This window comes from Homo sapiens, chromosome 17, assembly GCF_000001405.40.
Source record: "Homo sapiens chromosome 17, GRCh38.p14 Primary Assembly".
Taxonomy (NCBI): Eukaryota; Metazoa; Chordata; class Mammalia; order Primates; family Hominidae; genus Homo; species Homo sapiens.
In genome coordinates, this window is record NC_000017.11 from 66,695,468 (window position 1) to 66,708,006 (window position 12,539).

General features: G+C 39.6%; 1 protein-coding gene across 11 annotated transcripts in view; it reads left to right on the forward strand.

The window, feature by feature from the left end:
- PRKCA (protein kinase C alpha) overlaps positions 1-12,539 on the forward strand; it is a 508,131-nt gene that overhangs the window by 392,855 nt on the left and 102,737 nt on the right. For 3 of the 11 annotated variants that reach the window (XR_007065315.1, XR_007065316.1, XM_047436389.1), the window contains one exon: positions 960-8,397. The exons of 6 other annotated variants lie outside the window; for them this stretch is intronic. Coding sequence is in view for 1 of the 5 variants with exons in the window: in XM_047436389.1 (XP_047292345.1) it covers positions 960-968 (9 nt within the window). In the remaining 4 variants the exon portion in view is untranslated. Of the gene's footprint in view, positions 1-959; positions 8,398-12,539 lie in introns of those variants that run through there. 2 more of the 11 variants (XR_007065317.1, XR_001752558.2) reach the window with 1 other exon arrangement.

A 12,539-nucleotide genomic window follows, 5' to 3' on the forward strand; every position in this document is an offset into this window, starting at 1 on the left:
TTAACAGTTAATGGAGATTCTAATATTAAAAAGTCAAGCAGCTTTCCTTAAATGAGCCTACACCATTCAATTTTGCTCAATTGTCCAGGCTTTTTATTGTTTTTGTCATTTATTATTTCGTTCATCATTTAAAAAACAGAGCAAATTAAGAAGCTAAAAGCGCCTTGGCCTTTTCCTCCTCTTACTGTAACCGTAACTTTTGCTGCACACCATTGCTCTATTCCAGAGCAAGTTAAACATCTAATATTTAAAAAGCCAAAAAGAAACTTGTAGCAGAACAAAGATAGCTAAGAGGCAGCACACCTGGGGCTTTGTCTGCGATGGGATATTTCTGTTGTCAGAATGTAATGAAAAATGATGTCCCATTAGAAAGCTGATGGATAATATATCACATATTACTCATTTGAGTATCAGGACCCAAGAAAACAAGATGAATTTATTTAAATTGCAATGTCCCTTGAAGCTTGTATGAGCTCTCTAAAGGGAAATACTTTTAAAGTTCTTATAAAGAGAGAAATTTATAGCCAAGTGTGAAAAATGAAGTGCAGTTTTGAGGACCAGTTCCCATCCTGTCCCTTCCTGGGGAGCAAGAGGTGTGATGTTGATGGAGCAGTGATGAAAGCAGGGGGAATCATGGCAAACACCCGCTGTGTGATGATTAGATGCTAGGCAGTTTCCGTGCTGGGCATCGTATATTCCTTTCATTTGAGAAGTGGTATTGCATAGTGGTTAGAAGCCTCAGTGTTGGACCCAGACTTCTAGGTTCAAATCCTGCCCCTTTTATATCCCAGTTGTATGACCTGGGACAGATTACTCAATGTTTGAGCATGGTATTTTTCTAGAAGGAATATGCAATTTAAAATAGCCATAGTTTCATATCCCTGCTCTACCACTTCCCAGCTGATGATCTTGGATAAGTTCCTTAAACTCTCTGACCTTTGTTTTCCTTGTTTACGAAGTGGAGATGATAATAGAGACTGCCGCATAGGACTGCTGGGAGGATTCACTCAGTTCACTTACGTAAGTTGCTTAGACTAGTACCTGGCATAGAGTAAGTGCCCAATAAATGTTTGCTAATTATATGAAATAGACATGATTTGCCCAAGTTTGGTTTTGATTTATATTTATGAAAAGTTATTTATCTGTGCAAATGAGGTGCTACCAAGAGGTAAGAGCATTCTTAGAACTCTGTTTTGAGCATTAGAAATTGTTATCAAGGACTTATTTCTGAGAACAGACCAGTGGATTGGTTGTTCCAACATTTATGGTTTCTTAGAACCTGAAGCTAAACCCGAATTCTGCTATCTTGATGACATTTTCAGCAGACAGGCTTCCCAGTTCATCTCTGTTTTCACCCACTTTCTCCTGACACCTGGCACCCAGGAGGCTGGGGAAAGTTGTTTGAACTTGAGTGCATACGTGATCGAGAGCTTTGGCATCTGAGAGACCTGCCTTTTGTCCCTGCTCCCAGGTTGCTAATGCCACCTTGGCCTGACTCCGCCGTAAGCATCTGTGCTCTGCCTTAGAACCTCAAGTCAACCCCCTCATAATTAATCTGATTTTCCCCAGTCATAGACCATCGTCATCACACCTCGCCTGTCTCCTCAGAGAGTCGAGAAAGCCTTGGAAATTCTTCGACCCATTAGACAAGTCAGCCCAGAGGAACCCAGTCTGTCTACCTCTTGTGATTTGAAGCACATTGTCAGCTAAATAATCACATAATCATAAATTCTAAAAAGTAAATAGCTACATTTTGCCTTATCTTGAAAATCCTCTAGAGCCACACTATCCCAATAGAATCTAAAGCTAGATGTCAGCACAGTGGTGGAATAGGAGCTTTCACCATCATTCCCCTGTAGACGCATCAATGTTGACAACTACCTATGGACAAGAGTGTCTTTGTAGGAGTCTAGGAGGCCAGCAGAGAAGTTTCAGAACACTGTTGGAGGAAAAACATCCACAAATAAACACATTGAAGAGGGTAGGAAGAACTAGTTTTACTTTATCTGTATTACCCCTCCCTCAAAGCAGCACTGCTCAGAGCCAAGAGAGACTCTCTCACCTGTAATTCCTTCTAAGGGGGAAAGCAAGAGCATAGTAAGTAAGCACCCAGCTCCCCCAGCCATCCACAACACTGCCCAAGAGCCCCACTTCTTTCTCACCTCACCCAGATTGCTGAGATAATCAGCATGGCTGAGAGATTGGGAGAGGCTGAGAGCAGGAAAGAGAAGCTGCTGGCCCTCTGAAGTGTTCTACAGACTCCATCAGGAAGCCCATCCACGAGCTGCTTGAGACACCTCATCTACTGTTCCCAAACTCTACACCCCCCACCCCCAGACTGAGTCCCTAAATGTGCCCCCATGGACAGTGAATGCAAGCGTATTATGTAGACAGCCAGCTCAACTCTGTGGGATTGGGAGAAGGTACACAAACTTGAGTATTTCAGGACACCATCCTAGGGAAAACAAACAGGAGGCTCTTAGCACCTAACCTAGCTTTGCAGGATTGAAAGAAGGCATGCAAAGTCAAGAATTAGCCCTCAAGAGGGAAAAAGAAATGTAGAGCAGGTGCATCCATAGAAAAGGATTAAGAAAGTCTCATTATCCATAGACAGGCTGACTGGTGAAGGCATTTCTCTCCTGATGCCAGTCAATAAGGATTGGAGGAGGAGATGACTGCCTCCTTCTTCAAATGTGAAGACAGCATTTGAAGCAACAAGACTTCAAAGGACAGCACTTCAAGGAACATGAAAAGTTAAGGAGCCATGACATCACAAAGGAACACAATATTCCAGAAAGCAACTACTAAAAAATGGAGATCTAAAAATGACCTGACAATTTAATTGTTTTAAGGAAGCTCAGAGAGCTAGCTACAAGAGGATACAGACAACAAAATCAGAAAAACAAGAGCTCAATAAAAAGATTATAAATCATTTTTAAAAAGAACCAAACAGAAATTTTGGAGGTGAAGAATACAGTGAATGAAATGGAAAATTCAATAGAGAGTGACAACAGCAGATTTGATCAAGTAGAAGAAAGAATCCATGAACTTAAAGACAGCTCATTTATAATTACCAAGTCAGAAGAAAACAGAAACAAATGAAAAGGAATGAAGAAAGCCTATGGGATTTATGGGACAACATTAAAAGGGCTAACATTTGCATTGTGGAAATTCTAGAAGGGAAAAAGAGAAAGGGGAAGAAAGCTTATATAAAGAAATGATGGCCCAGGTGTGGTGGTTCATGCTTCTAATCCCAGCACTTTGGGGAGACTGAGGCAGGTGGATCACTTGAGGCCAGGAATTCGAGACCAGCCTGGCCAACGTAGCAAAACCCTGTGTCTACTAAAAATACAAAAAAAAAAAAAAAAATAGGTGTAGTGGTGCATGCCTGTAGTGCCAGTACTCGGGAGGCTGAGGCACAGGAATCACTTGAACCTGGGAGGCAGAGATTGCAGTGAGCTGAGATTTTGCCACTGCACTCCAGCCTGGGTGACAGAGCGAGACTGTCTTAAAAAAAAGAAAAAAAAAATGTCTGCAAACTTCCCAAGTTTGGAGAAAGATATGGACAGTAGAAAAGGTAAGCAAGCCAGGCACAGTAGCATGTGCCTGTAGTCCCAGCTACTTAGAGGGCTGAGGCAGGAGGATGGCTTGAGCTCAGGAATTTGAGGCTGTGGAGCAGCTTCGATTGTGCGTGTGAATAGCCAGTGCACTGCAGCCTGGGCAACATAACTAGACTGTCTCTCAAAAAAAAAAAAAAAAAAAAGATTAACAAAACTAAGAGTTGATTTTTTTGAAAACATAAACAAAATTGGTAAACCTTTAGCTAGACTAAGAAAAAAGAGAGAAGACCAATGAATAAAATCAGAAATGAAGGAGACATTGCAACTGATACTACAGAAATACATAAGATCATAGGAGACTACTCTGAACTGTTACACACCAACAAATTGGATAACCCAGAAGATATGAATAAATTTCTAGAAACATACAACCTACCAAGACTGAATCATAAAGAAATAGAAAATCTGAGTAGGCCAATAATGAGTAAGGAGGTGGAACCAGTTATCAAAGATCTCCCAGGAAAGAAAAGCCCAATGCCTACTGGCTTCACTGGTGAATGCTACCAAACACTTTTTAAGAGACAAGGTCTCGCTCTGTTGCCCAGGCTAGAGTGCTGTAGCACAATCATAGCTCACTGCAGCTCAAACTCCTGGGCTCAAGCAATCCTCCTGCCTCAGCCTCCTGAATAGGTGGGACTACAGGCATGCACCACCACACCCAGCTAATTTGTAGGGATGAGGTCTTGATGTGTTGCCCAGGCTGGTCTCAAACTCCTGGCCTCAACTGAATTCCTAGCCTCAAGGCTTGTCCTCCCTTTGCTGGGCCACTGTGCCCAGACTCTACCAAACATTTAAATAAGAATTAATACCAATCCTTCTCAAACTCTTCCAAAACACTGAAAGGGAAAGAACATGCCTGAGTTCATTTTATGGGGCCAGCATGGCCCTGATACCAAATCCAGGCAAGGACATGACAAGAAAATAAAATTAAAGGCCAATATATCCAATGAACAGAGATGCAAAAATTCTCAACAAAATACTATCAAACCAAATTCACCATCACATTTAAAGGATGATATGCTGTGATCAGGTGGGATTTATTCCTGTGATACAAGGATGGTTTAACATAAACCAATCAATGTGATACACAACATTAACAGAACGAAGGATAAAAATTGTATGATTATTTTAATAGATGCAGAAAAAGGATTTGACAAAATTTAATGCCCTTTCAAAATAAAAACTCTCAACAAATTAGGTATAAAGGAATGTACCTCAACACAGTAATAGCCATTTATGACAAGCCCACAGCTAACATCCTGCTCTATGGTAAAAAGCTATAAGTTCTTTCTTTCAGATCATGAACAAAATGAGGATGCCCATTCTCTCCACTTCTATTCAACATAGTCCTGGAAGTTCTACCAATGCACCTAGGCAAGAAAAAGAAAAGGCATCCAAATCAGAAAGGAAGAAGTAAAATAGTCTCTGCAGATGACATGATCATATATATATATAGAAGACCTTAAAGACACCACCAAAGAACTTGTTAGAACTAATGAACAAATTCAGAAAGTTGCAGGATACAAAATCAAAATACAAAAATCAGTTGTGTTTCTCTATGCTAACAATGAACTATTCAAAACAATATAAGAAAACAATTGTGTTTACAGTAGCATCAAAAAGAACGAAATACTTAAGAATAAATTTAACCGAGGAGGTGAAATATCTGTACACTGAAAAATAGAAAACACTGATGAAAGAAATAATAATACCTAAATAAATGGGAAGATATCGCCTGTTCCTGGATTGGAAGAATTAATATTGTCAAAATGTTTGTACTACCCAAAGTGATCTACAGATTATACGTAATCCTTATCAAAATGCCAATTATTAGTATAATTTGTTTCCATAGAGGAAAAAATAATCCCAGAATTCGTATGAAGCCACAAAAGACCCTGAATAGCTAAAGTAATATGGAGCAAGAAGGACGGAGGTATCACACTTTCTGATCCAAATTATATTACACATCTATAATAATCAACACAGTATGGTACTGGCATACAAACTGACATACAAACCAGTAGAACAGAATAGAAAACCCAGAAATAAACCCCACACATACGTGGTCAACTATCTTTGACAAAGGCATCAAGGATACAGAATAAAGCAAGGATAGTCTCTTGAATAAAAGGTGTTGGGAAAACTGGATATCCACATACCAAAAAATGAAATTGGATAGATGCATTTCGTAGCATATACAAATGTCAACTCAAAATGGACTGAAGACTTAAATATGTAAAACCTGAAACCATAGAACTAGAAGAAAACATACTTGGGGGGAAAGCTTCATGACATTGGTCTTGACAATGGTTTTTTGGATATGACACCAAAAGCACTGGCAACAAAAGCAAAAATAAAGAAGTGGTACTACATCAAACTAAAAAGTTTCTGCACAGCAAAGGAAACAAAGCAACAAAATTAAAAGGCAACCTGTGGAATAGGAGAAAATATTTGCAAACTGTATATCCAATAAGGGTTTAATATCCAAAATGCATAAGGAACTCATATAATACAACTCAAAGGCAAAAATAAAAAAGAAAACCCACAGATTTTAAAATGGGCAAAAGACCTGAATAGACATTTTTCAAAATAAGACATACAAATGGCCAACAGGTAAAGGAAAAGGTGCTTAATGTTGCTTATCAGGGAAATTTAAGTCAAAATTGTCAAAATTATAATGAGGTATCCCTGCAGACCTGTTAGAATGGCAGTTATCAAAAAGTCAAAAGATAAGTGTTATTGAGGATGTGGAGAAAATGATATACACTGTTGGTGGGAATGTAAATTGGCATATCAGTTATGGAGAGACAGTATGGATGTCTCTTAAATACTTGAAAATAAAGCTACCATACGATCCAGCAGTCCTGATTCTGGGTATATATCCAAAGGAAATAAAAATCACTGTCCCAGAAGAGATATCTGTACTCTCAAGTTCCTTGCAGCATTATTCACAATAGCCAAGATATGGAAACAGTGTGTTCATTAATAGATGAATGCATAAAGAAAATGTCTGTCACATACATATCTCATTTATGTGTGTGCATATTCATATATATATATATACACACACACATATATACATGTAAAGGCTCAATTGTGTATACACATATATGTATATGTGTGTATGTGTGTGTATATGTATATATAATTGAGTCTTTAAAAAGAAGAAACATTTGTAACGCATGGATGAACCTGGAGGACATTATCATATTATCATCTAAGTGAAATAAACCAGACACAGAAACACAAATAGTGCATGTTTTCACTTATATGTGGAATCTTAAGAAAGTCAAACTCACAGAAACAGAATAGAAGTGTGGTTACCATGGGTTGAGCAGGGTGTTGGAGGAATGAGGAGATGTTGGTTAAATACAAACTTTCAGCTTTAAGATGAGTAAGTTCTGGAGAGCTAATGTACAGCATGGTGACCAATAATAATAATGTGTTTTTATACTAGAAATTTGCTGAGTAGATCTTAAAGATTCTCACCACACACACACAATGGTAACTGTAAAGTGACAGATATGTTAATTAGTTTGATTGTAGTAATCATTTCACAGTGGATATGTACACAAAACATCACATTGTATACCTTAAACAATGACTAATACCATTTTGTTAGTCATGCCTCTATACAGGGATGCCTTCTGAAAATGTATCACTAAGAGATTTCATCATGCAAACATCATAGAGTGTATTTACACAAGCATAGATGGTATAACCTATTCCACACTTAGGCTATAGGGTGTAACCTATTGCTTCTATGCTATAAACCTGTACAGATGCTGACTGCTGTAGGCAACTGTAACACAATGCTAAGTATTTGTGTATCTAAACATAGAAAAGGTACAGTAAAAATACAATATAAAAGAAAAAAAGTGGTACACTAGTATAGGGCACTTACCCTGAATGGAGGTTGCAGGACTGGAAGTTACTCTGGGTAAGTGAGTGAGTGGTGAGGGAATGTGCCAGAACAATACTGTAAGCCACCACAACACTTAGGCTACACTCAATTTATTTTTAAAATCTTCTTTCTTCAGTAATAACCTTAGCCTACAGTAACTATTTTACTTTATAAACTTTTAAAAAAGTTTTGACTCATAATAACACTTAAATAACACTTAAAACACAAATACATTGTATAGCTGTACAAAAATATTTTTATCTCCTTATTCTATGTCTATTTAAAAATTTAAAATTTTTTTTCTGTTAAAAAATTTTTTTTTTGACCCTACACAGGTCAGGATCATCCATATGGCTGTCCCTCACCTCTGCATCTTGTCCCACTGGAAGGTCTTCAGGGGCAGTAATACACATGGAGCTGTCATCACCCCTGATAACAATGCCTTCTGGAATACCTCCTGAAGGCTCTGCCTAAGGCTGTTCTACAGTTAACTTTTGTTTTAATAAGTAGAAAAAAATAAGACCTGATGTGGTGGCTCATGCCTATAATCCCAGCAAGTTTGCCAGGCCAAGGCGGGTGGATCACCTGAGGTTAGGAGTTCAAGACCAGCTGGGCCAACATAGTGAAACCGCATCTCTACTAAAAATACAAAAATTAGCCAGGCATGGTGGTGAGAGCTTGTAATCCCAGCTACTTGGGAGGCTGAGGCAGTAGAATCACTTGAACCCAGGAGGTGGAGGTTGCAGTGAGCTGAGATCGTGCCATTGCATTCCAGCCTGGGTGACAGACCGAGACTCCATCTCAAGAAAAAAAAAAATAGAAAAAATATACTCTTAAGATAACAATAAAAATATAGTATAGTGAATACATAAACCAGTTATATAGTCATTTATTATCGACTGTGATGTACTATACATAATTGTGCTGTATTTTTGTGTGACTGGCAGTACAGTACCTTTGTTTACACCAGCATCACCACAAACATGTAATGTGTTGTGCAGCAATGTTAGTGTCTGTGATGTAGACATCACTGGGTAATAGGAAATTTTCATCTCCATGATAATCTTATGGGACCACCATCATTTATGCAGTCCATCGTTGACCAAAATGTCATTGTGTAGTGCCTGACTATAAAACCTTTTTCTACATTTATAATCTCAGCAAAGTTAAAAAAAAAAAAAAAACAGGAATAGGTTAAGTTCAGAACTGGGCTTGAATTTAAAATCCCCACTATTAACACCACCACTATTGATTTGGTTTCACTTAAACATCATCTTCTGTCCCATAAATTAGTGCTGTTATTTGGAAATGTGTCTATAACACTTCGCTCAATTTTAATTTGTATCTTTATTATAGCTTTAGAGTTGTTAGTGTACTAGTACATATATTAAGGCTTATAGTTATCTGTACATACATATTCTACTAACTCTATAATAAAATTTGTTAACACATGGAGCAAAAAAATAATCTCAAGCTAGCTTAACAATGGCTTCTGTCCAAACTAGACCCCCAGTAATATTGGGATGACTGAAGTCTCATGCAGAGAAATATGTGTGTCTTCACAGTTCTTATATTTGTGACCATTCAGAACTATATGAAGATATAAGCCAAAAGAAAATTGGTGATCTTGAATGAGCTGTTTTGTGAGGATTATAAGTCCAGATACTACAGGAAGTATCACCCTGGATTCAGATTGCCTGAAAAATCAAATGTGTATCTGTTTTTACTTATTCAAGAGAAATATTTTGAGATTATCCTTCTTACTAATTAACAAATTAATATGATCCAATTAAACTATAATTAAGGTACTTAAATCAACAAAGATGAGACTCTGTTGCTAGGTTATATGTGGAAAGAGCAAGCAAGCATTTTTCTCTTTTATCAGAATTAGATTTTCCCAAAGCCTCCACTGTCTTTGAAGACTTTATCTAGTTCAGAATGCTCTCTTCCAGTTGGGGGAAAAATAAAACCACAAAACACAGTTCACTAGAGACCCTCAGATAAATTGTAGCTATTTGTTGATCTGATCAGCCCTGCCACGGTTACTATGGAAACCAGAGTACTTTCAGATGACCTTTTAGACACAAAACAAAAAAATCTATGTGCCCCAATATGCTCTCTGCTTTTTTGTCCCTAAATAGCTTACTTAATTACTTCCTTAACTGTGTGATGTTAAGGGGGAAAAAAATCTATAAAATGCACAGCAGTTGAAAGAGATATTTTAAGGCTTATCCTTCAGCTTTGTCTTAGAAGCAAAGTCTTAAACTGATATAGGAGACAGGTTAGTAGTAGAAATCATTTTCAAACACTCATTAGATCACTGCCAACAGAGGTTAACCTGGCATTCAGCTGAGCAGACCCAAAGGAAGCAAGACAGCCTCTGAAAGCAACTGTACAGAATTTCTCATGAGTCTGTAAGGGAGGGTGCATGCATTTATATTAGAGTGCTGGCAGCATGCTTTCAGTTTAATTTGTCTCGAGGAAATAATTTTGTTGGGAAACCAAAAAAGATTGTGCATTCTAGTTGTCTGTCTAATGAATTCCTGAAACAGCATAAAAGCCCTGTGTCTTGTAGTTACAGGGATGGCCTTGTGGGTGGATGTTGCTGGTTGAAGAAATATTAGTTAATATCACACAAGCCTGTTATTAAATGTTAGAGGCAGCTTTGCAAATGTCCCCAGGCCCTGGTACCCACAGGGGATGAGCAGGTACCAAGGGTGCCACCCTTCATTTACAGGAACTGGAAGGAGGGAAGACAGAGCCGATGTCCACTGGCACTAGCATGAACATGGCAGCTAAACATTGGCACAAGTCTTCATGGCTCTATCTCAAGCACCTAAGAGGAAATTAAAGCCCCCTAAAATAAAATTAAGGGACCTAGAATAAGGGTGACACCAAACATAATGCTATTTGTTGTTTTCCCCAAAAAACATGCCCTACAGAGAATTAAGATTGCCTGTCCCTGGAGCGGTAAATCGCAAGGGTTCTGACCTCCCTGGGTATCCTGAAAGAGGAAGTGGCGAGCAGCTTGAGCTCTAGATCTTGCACCTCCAAGTATGGGAGCTGATTAATAATGCAGAGGTTCAGAGCCCAGCCCAGCCTCTGACCCAGTCAGAATATTATTTTAACAAGGTCCCCAGGTGATTCCTGAGCCCATTAAAGTTTGAGAAATGCTGGTCAAGAAGATGAAACCTGTTGACTGATGAGTAAACAAATTCAGTCTCCTGTGGTCGTAAAGACAGCAAGGATAGACTTCATCACCCCCAGTACCCATATTAAATAGCGAAGGGATCAGTGAACTGTGACCCACACCCAACCACCTGCTTTTGTATATACAGTCTATGAGCTAAGAATGGTTTCAAGGCTGGGTGCGGTGGCTCACGCCTATAATCCCAGCACTTTGGGAGGCCGAGGCAGGCAGATCGCAAGGTCAGGAGATCGAGACCATCCTGGCTAACACGGTGAAACCCCGTCTCTACTAAAAATACAAAAAAAAAAAAAATTAGCCAGGCATGATGGCAGGCACCTGTAGTCCCAGCTGGAGGCTGAGGCAGGAGAATGGCATGAACCCGGGAGGCGGAGCTTGCAGTGAGCCGAGATCACGCCACTGCACTCCAGCCTGGGCGACAGAGTAAGGCTCTGTCTCAAAAAAAAAAAAAAGAGTGGTTTCAGGATTTTTAAGTGGTTGAAAAAAAGAAGGATATTTGCGAGACATGAAAATTTGGTGAAATCCAAAATCTGGTGCCTATAAATAGATTTTTATTAACACAACTACATTCATTCATTCGTGTGTTGTCCACAGCTGTTCCTTTGCTACCACGGCAGAGTTGAGTCCCTGCAAAAGAGACTGCATGGGCCTCAAAGCCTAAATGTATGCCCTCTGGTCCTTTACATAAAAAGTTTGTGACCTCTGGGTTAATGGAATAATAGGGTATTCAAACTGGGAGAGATGTTTAAGATTGTGTTTGTTGATGGGGAAACAAAAGCAAAAGGGAGTGTGTTCAAAGCTTGTTAGTGCAGGACCCAGACCTCCTGTGTGAGTTGATGCTTCTGTCTCATACCCTGTCCCTTCCCACACACCCTTCCCTATGACACCCCCTTTTCTGACTCCTCTCCATTCATCCACCATGCTCATTAATGCATCTCAGCCCATGCTTGTGCTCCTTGGAAAGACCCTCCCTTCTCCTCCACTTCCGTCAGTCCTAGGCTTTTCAAATCCTACAAGTCCCTTTATGTGGTTCTCTGGCCTCTTAAAATTGCCTTGACTTATGCAGTCTAAAGACTACTCACTTGCCAGACACACCTGTAAGATGTGTCACCTTCCTGATTCCAGAGTAAGAACCTCAGGCCCTCCTCTGAATACTTTGAAGTCTAAACATCAGGCCCATGAGGAGTCCACCCTTCACCTGCACTTTTTTGACAGCCCAGAGGAAGGTGTCTGAGCCAACATCTTTATGAGGCTGGTTGGAGGCCTTCAGGGGAGAGGCCATTTTAGAGCCACGAGAACCTCCCTTTCTTCCTCTAGCAGTTGTGTAAAACTCACGTGTGTGACAAATCTGGTTGCTCTTGAAGATGGACCAGTTTCTTTCCCATACATTTTATGGTTCCAGAAATCAGTAATTCTGGACATTTCTAACTGGTGGATGCTGCATCTACTCTGTGTCAAGCACTGTCCCTGGGGCTAGAGACAGAACCTTGCTCTTGGGAACATTGTGGAGTAGTACTAAGGGATATGAGACCTTGTACCTTATCTCCACTTTCTGGAAACGACCCCTGACCCTCATAGTGGAGGGAAGCTTACACCCTGTCTCCTAAACAGTAGCTAGCCTAGATCAGCGGGAGTCTGACCCAGGCCACAAGTCAGTTCTTTGTCCACGTAGCAGTATCTCCAGCTCTTGAGATGCTGAGTAAGCCTCACTGCTGAAAAGATTATGGCTCGCCTGATGTAACATGGCTTTTATAGGCAGCTAGAACCACAGAGGCCTCAGAGAATTCAAAATCACAGCTCCCTACAT